Source organism: Homo sapiens, chromosome 16, assembly GCF_000001405.40.
Source record: "Homo sapiens chromosome 16, GRCh38.p14 Primary Assembly".
In the NCBI taxonomy this organism is placed as follows: domain Eukaryota; kingdom Metazoa; phylum Chordata; class Mammalia; order Primates; family Hominidae; genus Homo; species Homo sapiens.
The window spans coordinates 81,892,426-81,909,921 of NC_000016.10; the positions used below are offsets into that span (position 1 = coordinate 81,892,426).

Here is a 17,496-nt window from a genome sequence, read left to right on the forward strand (position 1 = left end):
CCCCCACAGCTGTGGGTGGGGACTTTCCTAAGTGACATTCCAGGGGGTCATCTGGGAAAAGGCTTTTTATGGTGTTATGCTCCAGGCATTTGGGAAGGTAAAATGTCTTTCAGGGGGAAATTGATTTCACAGTTCTCTCTTCCCCACCATGCCCATCATTTTAAGAGTTTGTGTTTCAGCATGGTGAATTCTAGAAAACCTAGAAGACAGTTAAGAAATACAAACTTAAAAAAAAAACTTTTATTTTCAGTTCAGAGGTACATGTGCAGGTTTGTTAAACGGGTCAACTTGTGTCATGGAGGTTTGCTGTGCAGATTATTTTGTCACCCAGGCATTAAGCCTACTTACTACCCATTAGTTATTTTTCCTGATCCTGTCCCTCCTACCACCCTCTGACAGAACCTAGTGTGAGGAACATAAACTTTTTTTTTTTTTTTTTTGAGACAGAGTCTCACTCTGTTGCCCAGGCTGGAGTGCATTGGTGCGATCTCAGCTCACAACCTCCGCTTTCCCGGTTCAACAGATTCTCCTGCCTCAGCCTCCCGAGTAGCTGGGACTCCGGGCACGAGCCACCATGCCCTGTTTTGTTTTGTTTTGTTTTGTTTTTGTATTTTTAGTAGAGACAGAATTTCACTATGTTGGCCAGGCTGGTCTTGAACACCTGACCTCGTGATCTGCCCGCCTCAGCCTGCCAAAGTGCTGGGATTACAGGCATGAGCCATCGTGCTTGGCCTCGGAACACAAATTTTAAAAAAGTTGGGGTGAATCATGACAAGGAGGAAAGTGCATTAAAGAGTCATTCTTACGGCAGTTTTGGTGGATATGGCTCCTAGCATAGCCGATTGCACCAACAGTTGTTGAATATCTGTTCTGTGCCTGGCCTCAAGCCTTGATATCAAAAGAAGTGCCCATCTTTGTTTAGACCGAGGACCCAGAGAGCGGCCATGGGGCCTTGTTAATTCATCTTCTGCAGCTTTTTTTGCTTCTGACGTGCTTTGACCAACTTCTCCTCAAAAGAACACGTCCTCTCCACGCTTGCATTGCCCAGGTGGTCAGCAGTCACTTCCTGCGATTGTGGCCTGACTTCAGAGCTCATGCCCAGTGTGACCGTGGGATTGTGTATTTCTGTCCTAGGCCTTAGCTTTGAGTCTTTCTACATGGAAGAACTCAGAGCTTTGGCGGCTCGGGCGGAGAAGTTCCCCCACAACACCCTGAGGTGCAGGCTTGCCCCCCAACCCCTGTGGCTGCCACTCTCACACGGCCACCTGCCTTCTCTCCTGCAGGTACCTTACAGGTGACCAGCTGCGGAGCGAGTCGTCCCCAGAAGCTTACATCCGCTGCCTGCGCATGGGCTGTCGCTGCATTGAACGTGAGTAGCTCCTTCTTGGTGGAGGTCAGGCTCGCAGCAAATTGAGGATAACCATGTGGTTGCTCCATGTTTTCTTTCGAATTGTAAAAAGGTTTTAATGGACACATAATAACTGTGCATATTTATGGAGTTAGAGTGTGATGTTTCTTTGTTTTCTTTTTTCTTTCTTTTTTTTTTTTTTTTTGAGACGGAGTCCCTGTCATCTGTATCTCCTCAGCTTCCTCCTGGGCTGGTATTAGAGGAAGGCAAACAGACACCCGCTGTGTTTTGGCAGCTGGGTCCTAGGTGTGCACAGGTACCGCGTATCACCTGGATTGGGGGGTCTCTGAGCAAATGTGAAAAGAATGGTCAGGGCTGGATATGGTGGCTCATGCCTGTAATCCCAGCACTTCAGGAGGCTGAAGTGGGAGGATTGTATGAGGCCAAGAGTTTGAGACCAGCCTGGGCGACATGGTGAGATCGTATCATTACGAAAAGTAAAAAAATTAGCTGTGTGTAGTGGCATGCGCCTGTGGTCCCAACAACTTGGGAGGCTGAGGTGGGAGGATCGCTTGAGCCCAGGAGGTTGAGGCTGTGGTGAGCTGTGATTGTGCCACTGCACTCTAGCCTGGGCAACAGAGCGAGACTCTGTGTCTAAACTGAAAAGAAAAGAAGGGTCAGGTGGCATCTCTGCCTGGGCAGATGGCAGACGCCTTATTTCCCTCCTTCCTTCTCATAGCCTCTCTGGCTATTTTCCTTCCGGCCTCTCTCTCACCAAAGGCTCATGGGTGCATTTGGCTGAGAAAAGGCAACAACCAGCTTGTCGTGGTGTCTCATGCCTGTAATCCCAGCACTGTGAGAGGTCGAGGTGGGCGGATCACTTGAGATCAGGAGCTTGAGATCAGTCTGGCCAACATGGCGAAACCCTTTCTCTACTAAAAATACAGAAATTAGCCAGGCGTGGTGGTGCACATCTGTAATCCCAGCTGCTTGGGAGGCCGAGGCACAGGAATCACTTGAGCCTGGGAGGCAGAGGTTGCAGTAAGCTGAGATCGCGCCGCTGCACGCCAGCCTGGGCAACAGAGGGAGACTTTGTCTCAAAAAAATAAAAATAAAAAATAAATAAATAAAATAAAAAAGGCATCAACTACTGACTTAGGCTCCAGTGTTACCAAAACGACTCATCATGGAAGCAACGTTTTGTAGCAGTTACTCTATAGACTTTCTTCCCGTTTATGATTTTTCTCCTCCCTCAGGAAAAAACAAATGTTTAAAAGTAAAGCTTGAAGCAGTCAGCTCCTGTGCCCTCCAGGGGTCCAAAAGATTGGGGATGTTCATCTTCCACATGACCCATTTCTGTTTGAAAATATTACTGTGAACCTTTACAAATAAATTTCTCATTGCTCTGTATCATTTCCACGGGCAGAAAAGGCAGTCAAGGTTTTCAACAGGTAAAGTCAGAAAATAAAACACGTGGTAAAATCTTCTTTAAAAAGAAGCATTGAGGTTGGGCGTGGTGGCTCACGCCTGTAATCTCAGCACTTTGGGAAGCTGAGGTGGATGGATCATGAGGTCAGGAGATTGAGACCACCCTGGCCAACATGGTGCAACCCTGTCTCTACTAAAATACAAAAAAATTAGCCGAGCGTGATGGTACGCGCCTGTAGTCCCAGTTACTCAGGAGGCTGAGGCAGGGGAATTGCTTCAACCCGGGAGGCGGAGATTGCAATGGGCCGAGATTGTGCCACTGCACTCCAGCCTGGGCAACAGAGCGAGACTCTGTCTTAAAAAAAAAAAAAATGAAAAAAAAAGCAGCATTGAAACTAGCTTGTCTTGGACAGCTGCACTTGCATTATGTAAGCGCACAGGGAACCCTGCGGATACAGGGAAAGCCATGTCCTCGTGTTGGCAGCCGAATGGAGGGAGTGTGGGTGTCCTTGTCTAGTAACTGAACTGGTGTGTGGGCCGGGGGCTGACCTCGGGGCTGTCAGTGAACACACGTGGTATTGAGGCTGCCGCGTTTCTCCCTGTAGTGGACTGCTGGGACGGGCCCGATGGGAAGCCGGTCATCTACCATGGCTGGACGCGGACTACCAAGATCAAGTTTGACGACGTCGTGCAGGCCATCAAAGACCACGCCTTTGTTACCTCGAGGTCAGTTGGCTGATTTCTGGGTGGTGTGACTTAAAGGGGAAGGCAGCTAGGGTTGGATAGACAGATGGACAGACAGGCAAACACACACAGACACCTCCCTCCAAATGCGGGAAGGCCTGGGCCCCATCTTGGCCAAAGCCACTGCCATCAAGTTCTCACCCGAGTGTTGGCACCCCCTGCAGGCCGAGAGTGCAAGTTGCTCCCGGGCTCTAGAGCCCCGAGGAGGCTCTGGCTGGGGAACCCTGTGGCTGCTCAGTGCCCACCCCACCTCCTCATTCTGTCTGGCCCCCACTTTCAGAACCCCCGAAAGAGAGGGAAAGGCTGGGCGCAGTGGCTCACGCCTGTAATCCCGGCACTTTGGGAGGCTGAGGTGTGATCACTGAGGTCAGGAGTTCGAGAAGAGCCTGGGCAACATGGTGAAACCCCTTCTCTACCAAAACACACACACACACACACACACACACACACACACACACACACACACACACACACACACACAAATCATCTGGGTGTAGTGGCATGTGCCTGTAGTCCCAGTTACTTGGGAAGCTGAGGTGGGAGGATTGCTTGAACCTGGCAGGCAGAGGTTACAGTGAGGTCACATTGCGCCACTGCACTGCAGCCTGGGCAACAGAGCGAGACCCTGTCTCAAAGGAAAAAAACCCAAAAAAACAAAAACCAAAAAAAAAGTGAGGCAAGGAAAGTAAAATTCCCCTTCTGTCCTAATTCCCTCTTTTGTGCCCAGTTCTCACCCCCACCAAACCTGTTTCTACAGGCGGAATCCAAGCAGCCAGTAATGGTGGTGGTGTGTTTTTTGAATACCCACCTGGGGCCAGGCTCTGTGCTAGGTTCTTTGTACAGGTGATCATATTGATTCTTTGCCACAAAGTGAGTATGGTCATCCCCATTTAACAGATGAGTAAATTGAGACAAGGAGGGGTTAAATGGGTGAGAACATTTAGGTTCATTTCAAGGGTTTCTGACCTCAGGTGTAATCCTTTTCTGTCCCACCAGAAGATCTTGGTCTGGGCTGGAGGTCAACGAAATTGTTCTATAAAGAGCCAGATACAAATGTTTCAGGCTTTATGGGCCCTGTGGTCTCTGTTGCAACTATTCAGCCCTGTTGCTGAAGTGCAAAGCAGCCATGGGCAAGAGGTAAACACATGAGTCTGGCTGTGTTCCAGTTAAAACTTGAATTACACATTACAAAAATAGATGGCAGGCCAGATTTGGGGCAGAGGCCATCATATGCCGACTCCTGGTTTGGGTTCCTTGTTATTTCTGAGAGCTGGCAAGAGGCCTTCTATAGGCTCATTGGAATGATAGTTGTCTTTTTATACTTTCTGGGGTAGAATAGCAGTTACGAGTATGGGTTCTGAGTCCTTCTCGCTGAGTTTGAATCCAGCTGTTGAGTACTAGTTTGGGCAAAGCACTTACCATCCTATGCTTCAATTTCCATGTTAAAAAATAGAGGTGATAACTGTGTGCACCTCACAGGGCGGTTGTGATGATTAAATGAGATGCCATTACAGCAAGTGCTTAACCCTGCACCTGGCATAGAGTAACTGTTGAGTCAATAAGATCGATTATTTTTTCTCTTTTTTTCTTTTCTTTTCTTTTCTTTTTTTTTTTTTTTGAGATGGAGTCTCCCTCTGTCGCCCAGGCTAGAGTGCAATGGCAGGATCTCGGCTCACTGCAACCTCCACCTCCTGAGTTCGAGCAATTCCCCTGTCTCAGCCTCCCGAGTAGCTGGGATTATAGGCATCCACCATCATGCCCGGCTAATTTGTGTATTTTGGTAGAGATAGGGTTTCACTATGTTGGCCAGGTTGGTCTTGAACTCATGACCTCAGGTGATCCTCCCGCCTCAACCTCCCAAAGTGTGGGGATTATGGGCATGAGCCACCGTGCCCAACCCGATTGGTTATTTTTATTGCATTTACTGCAGATGTCCCTTGAGCTGGGTGGAGGTGTTGCTGTGAGACAATGAAATTATGGACGTCTTTTCGCACTTGGTGAAAACCTTTCAATGAAGGCATATGATTTCTCCATCGCAGCATTCTCCCCTGTGGGGTCCTAGCCCTTCTAAGTGCCAACCTCCATCAGGCAGATGGAAGGAGCTGGTATTAACAGACACTGTGCAGTGGCAGCTTACACTCTGCTTTGAGAGTTTGCTTTCATTTGCAGGACATAGGTGCTTATGGTTGTGAGCTGACAGTCATTCATCGAACATTATCTCATTCATGACTAGAGGAAGTTTTTTCTGGTTAAAATAGGGCTGGAATCATCTAACACCTATAGGGCTAGAACTCTGTAATCAAACATTAATGCATTAATGTTTTGGCAGCAAAAGCCATCCTTATTGGTATTAAGAGGGATTTAAGAAAATGATTGCAAGCAGCGTTCATTCGAATGGTTCAGATTTTGCTGTCAGTTACATTTTGATACCAACTTACTAGGTAGCCTTTGTTGTAAAAGCTTTTTAGCTGTTATGTTCTAGTAAGGGTGTGTGGATCAGGATCGGGGAGTGAGCTGGGTCCACGCTTCCCAGGAGTGATGAGGCTATGATTTACTTGAGCTGGAACATGGTTAAGGATTTTATTTTTATCATCGTCACTTTATTTTCACATTTGCCTTCATTTCTATTGAGTGACGTGATTTCCTATTTATGGAAGTGACATAGCTGCCTTTAGAATAATTTTGTTTCATAGTAAATGCCATGCACAAGCCTCAGATGGATTCTTGGTGGGAAAAACTCCATCTATACAGTATATTTCTTGGATAACTGGGGAAATTTGAGTATGTCTAATGATCAGTATGTCTAATGATCATTATTTAAAGATAGTTTCCTGAGGTGATATGGTGTGGTGATGTCAGGGGATGTTCTTAAGAGATACCTGTGGGGGATGTCTGCGCCTTATTTCAGATGGTTCAGGAGGAAACGTAAATATGTGTATAAATGAAATACAAATATAGGCTGGGCACAGTGGCTCACGCCTGTAATCCCAGCACTTTCGGAGGCTGAGGCGGGTGGATCAACTGAATTCAGGAGTTTGAGACCAGCAGCCTGGCCAACATGGTGAAACCCTATCTTTAGTAAAAATACAAAAAATTAACTGGGCATGCTGGCAGATACCTGTAATCTCAGCTACTCAGGAGGCTGAGGCAGGAGAATTGCTTGAACTTGGGAGGCGGAGGTTGCAATGAGCTGAGGTCACGCCATTGCACTCCATCCCGGGCAATGAGTGAAACTCCATTTCCAAAAGAAAAATAAATAAATAAAATAAAATAAATAAATACATAAATAAATGACTTTTCTCCTGCCTCAGGAGGAGTATGTGTGTATATATATATATATATATACACACACACACACATAAATATATATGTGTGTATATATACGTATATATGTATATACATGTACTAATGATATGTGAATTTATACATACACGTTCACATGATATAGAAGGATACAGGTGATCCTTATTGGTGGATTCTACTTGCTAAAATTGACTTGTAACCCCAAATCAAATCTCAAAGCACTCTGAGGTCATTCTGAGACACGCACAAAGTGTGGGAAATGAGACTCATGCGATGCACACGTGTTCAGCTGAGGGTGAGCAAAGCAGCGCTCCCCTTCCTGGTCTACAGCGTGAAAGCTTCAACAAGTGTCCTCACCATCTGTTGACTGCCATGTTTTTCCTGTTTTTGAGCTTTTTCTTGGTGATCTTGCTGTTCAAATGGCCCGAAGCACAGTGGTGAGGGCTGCCTGGTGTTCCTGAGCAGGAGAAGGCTGTGATGTGCCCGATGGAGAAAACACCTGTGTCAGATACGCTTGGTTCAGGCACGAATTACAGTGATGCTGGCTGTGAGCCCAGTGTCAGTCAATAATATATACCAAATCAGGTGTCTTTAAACAGAAACACACATAAAACAACGTCAGATATTGATTCATTGAGGAAAATGTTGTGACCACACGCTCAAAAGGCCCTGATCCTGTATTTCCCCTTAGGAGCAATGGCTCAGGTATTTGCCAATCAGTGTTGGTGGTGACTTTATGAACCATAACCCCAATAGATAAGAAAAATCAACTACAGATACACACAAATGATCTATAAATACACAGACACCTTATAGAAATATACATATATACACATACAAATAATAAATGTATGCATGCACACATGCAAATTACATATGTGTGCATATGAATGAGAATATATAAAACCAATATACTTTATAAATAGAGGAAGTAATAAACATACTAAAGTAGGTGGATGCACACGTGGAACAGCGTCCCTGTTGGTGACCCTGGGTGAAGCACACATGGGTGCTTATTGTGCTGTCTGTTCATCTTTTCTGTAGGTTTGAACTTGAAAAAAAGATTAGAGACTTTTTTCTGTAAGTTTAAAGATATGAATAGATGGAAAAAAATACAGAGAAAAGGTGCATTCTGGGGTATGGGGAAGCTCCTGAATCAGATCGCAGCTGTTCTGAGTCCCAAGACTTGTGCCTTCACACCCAGGATGAGGTCCTCTCCTTCTGGGAGGGCAGATGTGGGGGTTGTGCCCCCCGAGCAGCGCCCGGTTTCTGTCGTCCCAGGGAGCTGCCCTGGCCCCTCTGTGGGGCAGATGCAGAGGTGTGTGCTCCCCCTGCCGAGCTGCCCACCCTCTTCTGCCTGCAGCTTCCCAGTGATCCTGTCCATCGAGGAGCACTGCAGCGTGGAGCAACAGCGTCACATGGCCAAGGCCTTCAAGGAAGTATTTGGCGACCTGCTGTTGACGAAGCCCACGGAGGCCAGTGCTGACCAGCTGCCCTCGCCCAGCCAGCTGCGGGAGAAGATCATCATCAAGGTAGGCACCCCGGGTGCTGCTGTTGGCTGTCCAGGGAGCCCAGTGGCTCGGTTCCCCGGCTCTGGGTCCCGTTCACCAAGTTCTATGTCCTACTGGGCCTGCTCCAGGTCCCACTGCACAGGCTCAAATCTGCTCTCCTTACTAACACTGTGACCTTAGGCAAAGTCATTAACCTTTGGGAGCCTCTGTTGTCACCAGTCTCTGGGGGAGATAATACTGGAACTCATCTGGCTAGCTTGCTGGGAGCATGATGTGAGGGAAGGCGTGCAGAATGCGTGCAACTGCGCCTGTCATGTGGTTGGTGCTACGTTAAGTGCTAACCTGTTATAGTTCATTTGTTCATTGGTGAACCTTCCCCATCCTCTCTCGGAGACAGCCCCATGCGAGGTGCTGGAGGTGTCCAGCGACCTGGGTGCTGTTCCTGTGATTGCAGCTTCCAGTTGTGTGGGAGGCGGGCAGTTGCTAGAAAAGGCTGAGTGCAGCAATAGAGCTGATGTTCCCAGCACTGCAGGGGAGATGGGTGATTATATCTGTGCCTAGGGATGCCATGGTAACATTTGGATTTTTGAATTATTAGGATAAAGAGACCATATATGCCGTGGCTTAAAGCACAGAAGAGTTTATTTCTTCCCCATGCGAGGGAGAATGTTCTGTGAGTTTTGAGCTCTAGCCCACAAGGTGACTCAGGGACCCGGGGCCCCCGCATTCTGCTCTAGCATCTCTCAGGGCAGCAGTTTTCAACTGGGGTTTCACAGACCCCCGAAGAATCCACGGTTAGAATCAGAGGGGCACGTGAACTTCAACAGAAAAAAAATTACATCTTTATTTGTTTAACCTGTACATAAAACTTAATACTTCCTTCCATTGTGAACATTGGCAGCAAGCCACTTGCGGGCTCTGTCACCAGCAGAAGTCATGAGTGTTTTCATATCCCGTTTACAGTTATTGCAAATATTTCAAAATAATGTTGTGCTCGTCATCACTTTGGAATTATGGAGGTTATTAGGTCTGCCTCTAGATCTTATTTAAGATGTTAATGAAGAAACCCATCTTTTAGTGTATTGCAAATATTTATTTAATATCTTAATCATGTTTCAATATAATTGAGTTTCCTTTGTAATTTTATGCATTATTATTCTGAGAAAAGGGTCTGTAGCTTTCCCCAGATTTTGAAGGAGCTCATTACACAAAAACGGTGAAGGGACTTTGCTTTGTCCTTGTTTATGTGGTGGACGCTTGGTCTCAGGCACATCCGAGTTCCAGCTCAGAGCACGGGAAGTCCAAGGGTGTCCAGGGCAAATGGTTTCTGGTAAGCAAGTCAGCTGTCCCGTCCTTTTCTCTACTGTTCTGTGCATGAGAGCTTAGTCACGTTACCTGCAAGGACTGTGGAATCTGAAGTCCCTAGCGGGGCAGCCTTTCATGGAAGGAGCGAGTGTGAATTTTGTTGACATTCCACGAGCTCATGGGGAAGGACAAACAGCTGTTTCCTAGGTATTTCAGTCTGTTCCTGCAGCTATCACAAAATACCCTAAGCTGGGTGGGTTATAAACAACAGGAACTGATTTCTCACGGTTCTGGAGGCTGGAAGTTCAAGGTCAGGGTGCTGGTATGAGAGTCCTCTTCCAAGTTGTAGGCTGCCGACTTCTAGTTGTGTCCTCACATGGTGGAAAGGGTGAGGCAGCTCTCTGGGACCTCTTTTATTTTTAAATATTTATTTATTTATAAATAACCATCTGGGACATGGAGATATCTTTGGCCTCTTTTATAAGGGCACCATTCCCATTGTTGAGAGCTCTACCCTCATTCCCATTCACTGGAGCTCTACTCTCATTCCCACTTATGAGAGCTCTACCCTCATTCCCATTCATAAAAGCTCTACCCTCATTCCCGTTCATGAGGACTCTACCCTCATGACCTAATCACCTTCTGTGTTACCCATTCTCACACTGCTCATAAAGACATACCCAAGACTGGGTAATTTATAAAGGAAAGAGGTTTAATGGACTCACAGTTCCATATGGCTGGGGAGGCCTCACAATCATGTCAGAAGGCAAAGGAGGAGCAAAGTCACATCTTACATGGTGGCAGGCAAGAGAGCTTGTTCAGGGAAACTCCCATTTATAAAACCAGATCTCATGAGATGTGTTCACTATCACAAGAACAGCACGTGAAAGGCCCGCCCCCATGATTCAATTACCTCCCACTGGGTTCCTCCTATGACACGTGGGAATTATAGGAGCTGCAATTCAAGGTGAGATTTGGGTGGGGACACAGCCAAACCATATTACCTTCCAAAGCTACCATCTCCAAATACCATTACATTGGGGATTAGGTTTCAACATATAAATTTTGGGAGGACACAGACATTCAGACCATAGCAGTAGGCAGAGAAGGGGGATGTCCTTCCAGGTTGGGACAATAGGACACACAAGGGTGTGGTGGTGTCAACACGTGGCATGTACCCTATATTATCACTGGGCCACCAAGATACATTGGACACAATCCTTATGTTCCAGGAAGTCGTGGTTTGGTAGGGAGACAAACCCGTCAACAGAGAAACACCAAACAGTGCAAGGAGCTTTGGCCAAGCACAACCAGAGGAGGGGATGTTGGTGCCCCCATGGGTAAGAGCATCAGTGCACGGGGAGTGTTTGGCCAAGACTGTGACCCTTAAGGTACAGATGTTTGCCTAAGCGGGAGATCAGCTGTCATTGTCTTAGTCTTGCAGATGAGAAGTGTGAGGCCTGGAGAAGTGCAGCCACCTGGCTGGGGTCACAAGTTAACAAAATAGCTGCAGCACTGTTTGCACCCAGGCAGTTGTTTCGGAGATGCCAAGGGATGCTTCCAGCACGGTGAAGGCAGGATAAGGGGTGGAGGGAGCTCGGCCATGGAGGGTCCATGGCTTCTCAGGCACCTAGTTGGTGAGTCTTCGGGGCAGCCTGGTTGCATGTGCTCTTCCCTGTTCCCAGCTCATTCCTTCTGTTTCCATTAGGATGGCTTGCTGCCTGTTCCCAGGGAGTTTTCAGCTCTTGTTCTAAGATGCAAAGTACTGAAGGCCCCTTTTAGAGCACCCTCTGCCCCACACCTGATACGCTGTGGCCCACTTCTTTCTATTTCAAGAAATGAGGTGGAAATAGCGTTGGCCACACGGTCACTTTGTACCATGCACTTGGCTAGGCGTGGTCATATGTATCTTCTTATTCAGTCTTGTCAAGACACTGCAGGACGAATAACCTCAGCCCTTGCCCACTTTACAGATGTGGACATTGAGATTCAGAGGTTAAATAGCTCAGCCAGGGTCACACATTTAGTATTTGCTGAGGAAATTATTCAAGGCCAAGGTGGTCTGCCCTCAGAGCCTGTTTTCCCATGCCTGTATCATGCTGCCATTCACAAGGGACACTGAGGTCCTGCTTCACTGTTGACACTTATCTTTCACGTTCTTTGACTTACGGGATCCCACAGGGGCTGCCACGTCCCGATTTTACGAGACAGATTACTGAGACTCTGATGATGACTCAGCCAAGGTCACATGGCCAGTAAGGTAATAGGCCCTGAATTCAAATCTGGATCTGACCCCCTATCCTGAGCTCCTTCACCAGGTTACATGACCCTCAACTTACAGACGCTTGCCTGCGTGGGAGTCCAGGTGTCATCACTGTCTTAATCTTGCAGATGAGAAGCCTGAGGCTCAGAGAAGTGCAGCCACTTGCCCGGGGTCACACAGCTGGTAGAATAGCTGCAGTGCTGTTTGCACCCCGGTCGCCTTAGTCTAATCCCCATTGGGTCCCCCGCCACCCTGCCCAGCCTGTTCCCTCTGGACTGCGGCCTGCCTTTCCCTCTGTGTGCTAGAGAAGGCTGGGCACAGGTGGTGTTGTTGTTTATTCACCGAGTATCAACAGAGCACTTACTGTCTGCTAAGTGCTCTTCTAGCACAGGAGACTCAACAGGAAGCAAAACAACATCCCTGCCCTCATGGGGTTTATATTCTAGCAGTGAGGACAGAAGACAAACACATGGTGTGTGTAGGGCTAGACAAGTGAGAGGAATAAAGCAGGCTTGGGGCTAGAGAGTGGCAGGATAGGAAGGGGAGTGTGGGCTATTTTTACTTATTTATTTTTTACTGGGACAGAGTCTCACTCTGTTGCCCAGGCTGGAGTGCAGTGGTGCAGTCTCAGCTCACTGCAACCTCCACTTCCCAGGTTCAAGCAATCTTACTGTCTCAGCCTCCTGAGTAGCTGGGATTACAGGCGCGTGCCACCATGCCCGGCTAATTTTTTTATTTTTGTAGATACAGGGTTTTGCCATGTTGGCCAGGCTGGTCTAGAACTCCTGAGCTCAAGTGATCTGTCTGCTTCAGCCTCCCAAAGTGCTGGGCTTATAGGTGTGAGCCACTGCGCCTGACCAGTATGGGCAATTTTTAGATGAAGCTGTAAGGAAAGCTCCTCCTCCTCGTTCAGGGTAACCTGGAGGGCAGAGCTGAACAGACTAAGAGGGAAGCCAGGCAGCAAGAACAGGCAGTGCAAAGGCCCTGCCTGGGAAGAGGCAGATGAAGGCTGCTGGCTCAAAGGCCTAAACTTGGGTCTCCATGGAGACAGCCTATGTATATGTTTTCCCCTCAGCATAAGAAGCTGGGCCCCCGAGGCGATGTGGATGTCAACATGGAGGACAAGAAGGACGAACACAAGCAACAGGGGGAGCTGTACATGTGGGATTCCATTGACCAGGTGGGCCTTGGTCCCTTCCCGTAGCCACTGCGGCCACGCCCCTTGCAGCTGCTTCTTGGAGCCCTGCTGGGAGCTCTGAGAATACGCCTGTCTTGTTCCCATTTTTAGTCAAGTGAGTTTTTGCCATGTGAATTTACCTTCCTTCTTAAACTTTATTTATTTATGTTGTGGGACAGGGTCTCACTCTGTCGCCCAGGCTGGAGTGTAGTGGTGTGATTGCGGCTCACTGCAGCCTTGACCTCCCAGGCTCAAGTGATCCTCCCACCTCAACCTCCCTGAGTCTCTGGGACCACACGTGCGCACCACCATGCCTGGCTAATTTTTTGTATTTTTGCAGAGATGGGATTTAGTCGTGTTGCCCAGGGTGATTTCAAACTCCTGGGCTCAAACAGTCCTCCCACCTTGGCCTCTCAAAGTGCTGAGATTATAGGCGTAAGCTTCTAAGCCTGGCCAACTTTATTTTCCTTTTGCATTTTTAATGTTTTATTTTGAAATAATTTTAGATTAAATATATTTACACACACAAATAGTATGGGATATTCCCATCTACCCTTACCAAGCTTCTCCAAATATTATTAATAACATCCTACATAACCATAGTATAATTAGCGCAATCAGGAAATTAACATTGGTACAATACTAATAACTAGTTTATAGATGGTATTTCATTGTTGCCACTGTGTTCACTCAGGCTATTTTCCTGTTTCAGGATCCAGTACCCGGTGCTGCCGTGCATTTAGGTTGTCCTGACTCCTTCGTGTCCTCCAACTGGGGGTCGTTCCACCAGAAACCTTATTTTTCAGACTTTAATGCTGCCTCTATCCCTTTACCTAATGTGTATATCCATTTTGAGTATATTTTTACATGTCCGTTCTTATATCCTAGATATAACATACATATCAAAGGCAATATTTATTTATTACTTATTTATTTATTTTAGATAGTCTTGCTCCATTGCCCTGGCTGGAGTGTGGTGGTACGATCTTAGCTCACCACAGACTCCACCTCCCGGTTGAAGTGATTCTTGTGCCTCATCTTCCCAAGTAACTGGGACCACAGATGTGCACCACCATGCCCTGCTAATTTTTGTAGCCTTAGTAGAGATAGTGTTTCGCCATGTTGGCCAGGCTGGTCTTGAACTCCTGATCTCAAGTGGTCTGCCCGCCTTGGCCTCCCGAAGTGCTAGGATTACTGGCGTGGGCCACTGTACCCAGCCAAAAATGGCAATATTTAAGTAAAGAATTAAGTTGGGCCAGGCGCGATGGCTCATGCCTATAATCCTAGCACCTTGGGAGGCCGAGGAAGGCAGATTACGAGGTCAGGAGATCGAGACCATCCTGGCTAACATGGCGAATCCCCGTCTCTATTAAAACTACAAAAATAAGTTGGGCATGGTGGCACGTGCCTGTAGTCCCAGCTACTCAGGAGGCTGAGGCAGGAGAATTACTTGAACCCGGGAGGCGGAGGTTTCAGTGAGCTGAGATTGAGCCACTGCACTCCAGCCTGGTGAGAGAGACAGACTCTGTCTCAAAAAAAAAAAAAAAAAAACAGTGCAGCACACCAACATGGCACATGTATACATATGTAAGAAACCTGCACAGTGTACACATGTACCCTAGAACTTAAAGTATAATAAAAAAATACAAATAAAAACGTTATTAAAAAAAAGAGTTTCTGCATACCCTGCACCCAGCCTCCTCTCACATTAACGTCATGCATGACAATAAAACAGTGACCAAAGCTAAGAACTTAACCCTGGTACTTTACAATAAAACCAGAGACTAAATTTCATCGGGGGAAAAAAAAAAGAAGTCATTAAGCCACAAATAAATATTGAACGTAAGGTCTCCAGACAAACTGGCTGGGAAATCCTGAAAGTTTTAAAAGGTAGATGGAATAGAAAAGAAAATGATGAGGAGTTGTACCTACCTTAGACTCATGGATCTAAAAAGTCCAAAAAGAAGCTCAAATACCAAAAGAAGCTCAAAATGCATCGATATTTTAAAAAAGAAATGCCTTGTAAGGAATTGAATTCAGAGAATTCGCCATAAATGTCTATGAAACTGGGAAAAGCACATCCATAGTAGATGCTGGGGTGACGCCCTGCAGGGCTCCTGGGCTCCACAGTTGATGAGGTAGAGGACTTGGGGGGCACTAATACCAGTTTCACTTTCTAGAAATGGACTCGGCACTACTGCGCCATTGCCGATGCCAAGCTGTCCTTCAGTGATGACATTGAACAGACTATGGAGGAGGAAGTGCCCCAGGTAGGGGGACACCCTAGCCACATAGGGAGGAGGTCCCCAGGAACCCCGAGGACCAGCCAGTCCCCGGGACCTCCTTCCCATGTGGCTTCTCTGGCCGGCTGGCAAGGGGATGCTCCGCTGAAGAAGCTGTTGATACTCTGGGTACCATGTCCTGGCTGGCTTGTCTCTGATTGGCTGGCTGCCCCAGGTGCTTTAACCAGTGAGGTTCAAGATGCTTTCCTGCTCTCTAAAGTGCCTGATTGGCCTTAGATGGAGGCCGGTGCTCTGGCTTGGTCCCATGCTTTCCTGTTGCCCTCTCCTCCAGCTGTGGTCATCTTTCCCGCTGTTTATTTCTGCAGCCCCCAGGGCCTCATGGCTCTCAGACTTCCCATAGAACAGAATGGAGGGCTTTGCTGGGAACCGTTCACTGCATGTCTCAGGATGCCAGGAGGCCACCATAAATGAGGGCTCTCAGGAGTGGGAGGCAGGCAGAGGAGGGTAGCAGGTGCTGTTTTCCCATACCCCTTCGGGTGGGGACCAGCTGAGGCTGGCCTCTCTATGTTATCTGGTACCCTGGGTCAGGGTGAGACAGAAGGACCTGTCTAGTGATGCTGGGGTTTGGTCCAAGGCTTTCAGAAACCCCTCCTCTCTTTGCGGCCCAGGATATACCCCCTACAGAACTACATTTTGGGGAGAAATGGTTCCACAAGAAGGTGGAGAAGAGGACGAGTGCCGAGAAGTTGCTGCAGGAATACTGCATGGAGACGGGGGGCAAGGATGGCACCTTCCTGGTTCGGGAGAGCGAGACCTTCCCCAATGACTACACCCTGTCCTTCTGGTAATGCCCCCGACCCAGGGAACGCCTACCTTCTTCTCCATGCCAACCGATGAGGCAGGGTGGCGAGTGGTTCTAGCTCAGGCAGGAATTGGGCAGGCTGGGACCTGAATCCCAGGCTTCATTTGTCTAGCTCTTCTAGGCCGGGACAAGGGTGAGGTGGGTATGACTCACTTCGGCACTGTAACCCAGATTAATGAGATTTCAGGGCAATCTTTTAAAAAATCAAAAGTAATGCAAAAAAGTCTGTGATGAACAAAATATGAACATTTTAAACAAAGACAAGATCTGACCCTACTCTTAGATGATGTGGTCTCACTCACTTTCCCCGATCCCAGCCCTGGAGTGGGTCATGTGGCTCTGGATGATTCAGCCAACCTTCTAGCATCTCTGTCTCCTCCATAAAACGAGGACTCTAGGGCTGTCCTTTTGAAGCCGTCATAGGCTGTGATGAGCTTGTGCATTCATTCATCCACCCACTTATCCATGTCTCAGTGCATTAAAAGATACTTCTTGAGGGCGTGCCCTGTGCTAGACACAGTACTTATGCCAGACAGACAATGTCTTTGTCCTCCTGGACACTAGCGTCTTTTGAAGGAGATGGGCAATGAAAAAGCAGTCACTCAAATGATTTGCAAGTATAGTTGTGATGAGTGCAATGAAACAAGGCAACATAAAGGGACATCCCTCCCTTTATTGGGGGGGTTTAATGTGAGTTGGGGGGATTTGTGAAAGTCTGTGAGGAAGGCTCTGATGCCCTGACGTGGGGAATGGTTAGGAAAACCTTCCTGAAAGAAGATGAGACCTGAAAGAGGGAAATTATAATTCTGTCACTTAAAAAAAAATTGTGATAGGGTCTTGCTCTGTTGCCTAGGCTGTAGTACAATGGAGCAGTCTCAGTCACTGCAGCCTCAAACTCCTGGGCTCAAGCAACCCTCCTATCTCAGCCATTTAAGTAGCTGGGACTACAGGCACATGCCACGACACCTGAATAACTTTTAAATTTTTTGTAGAGCTGGAGTCTCACTACGTTGCCCAGGCTGGTTTTGAACTCAGCTCAAGCAATCCTCTGGCTTCGGCCTCCTGAAGTGCTAGGATTACAGCTGTAAGCCATTGCACCTGGCTGAAAATTAGAATACTAATAACACGCAAATAATCCTGGACACCTAAATGATGCTTACCATGTGCTGGGCAGTATTCGAGACACCTTGTGTGTGTGGTCTCGTTTACTCTTCAGGATGCCTCTTTGAGGTGGATACTGTTATCATTCCTGTCAGACCGCTGGGGTAGTAATACAGTGTGGCTCAGACAGCACGGGTGACCTGCTCCAGGA

General features: G+C 47.5%; 1 protein-coding gene across 4 annotated transcripts in view, besides 1 other annotated feature; it reads left to right on the forward strand.

The window, feature by feature from the left end:
* Positions 1–17,496, forward strand: part of PLCG2 (phospholipase C gamma 2) — a 223,645-nt gene that overhangs the window by 153,385 nt on the left and 52,764 nt on the right. For all 4 annotated transcript variants that reach the window (NM_001425751.1, NM_001425749.1, NM_001425750.1 and 1 more), the window contains 6 exons: positions 1,284–1,369; positions 3,382–3,502; positions 8,187–8,355; positions 12,978–13,082; positions 15,260–15,349; positions 15,991–16,166. In NM_001425751.1, coding sequence (NP_001412680.1) covers positions 1,284–1,369; positions 3,382–3,502; positions 8,187–8,355; positions 12,978–13,082; positions 15,260–15,349; positions 15,991–16,166 — 747 coding nt within the window. The remainder of the gene's footprint in view (positions 1–1,283; positions 1,370–3,381; positions 3,503–8,186; positions 8,356–12,977; positions 13,083–15,259; positions 15,350–15,990; positions 16,167–17,496) is intronic.
* Positions 7,753–8,254: an enhancer, noted in NCBI's record as "H3K4me1 hESC enhancer chr16:81933783-81934284 (GRCh37/hg19 assembly coordinates)". NCBI's record gives its function as "activates a minimal SCP1, AML or CMV promoter by ChIP-STARR-seq in naive and primed H9 embryonic stem cells {active_cell/tissue: H9 hESC(naive and primed)}" and the evidence as "EXISTENCE:reporter gene assay evidence [ECO:0000049][PMID:30033119]".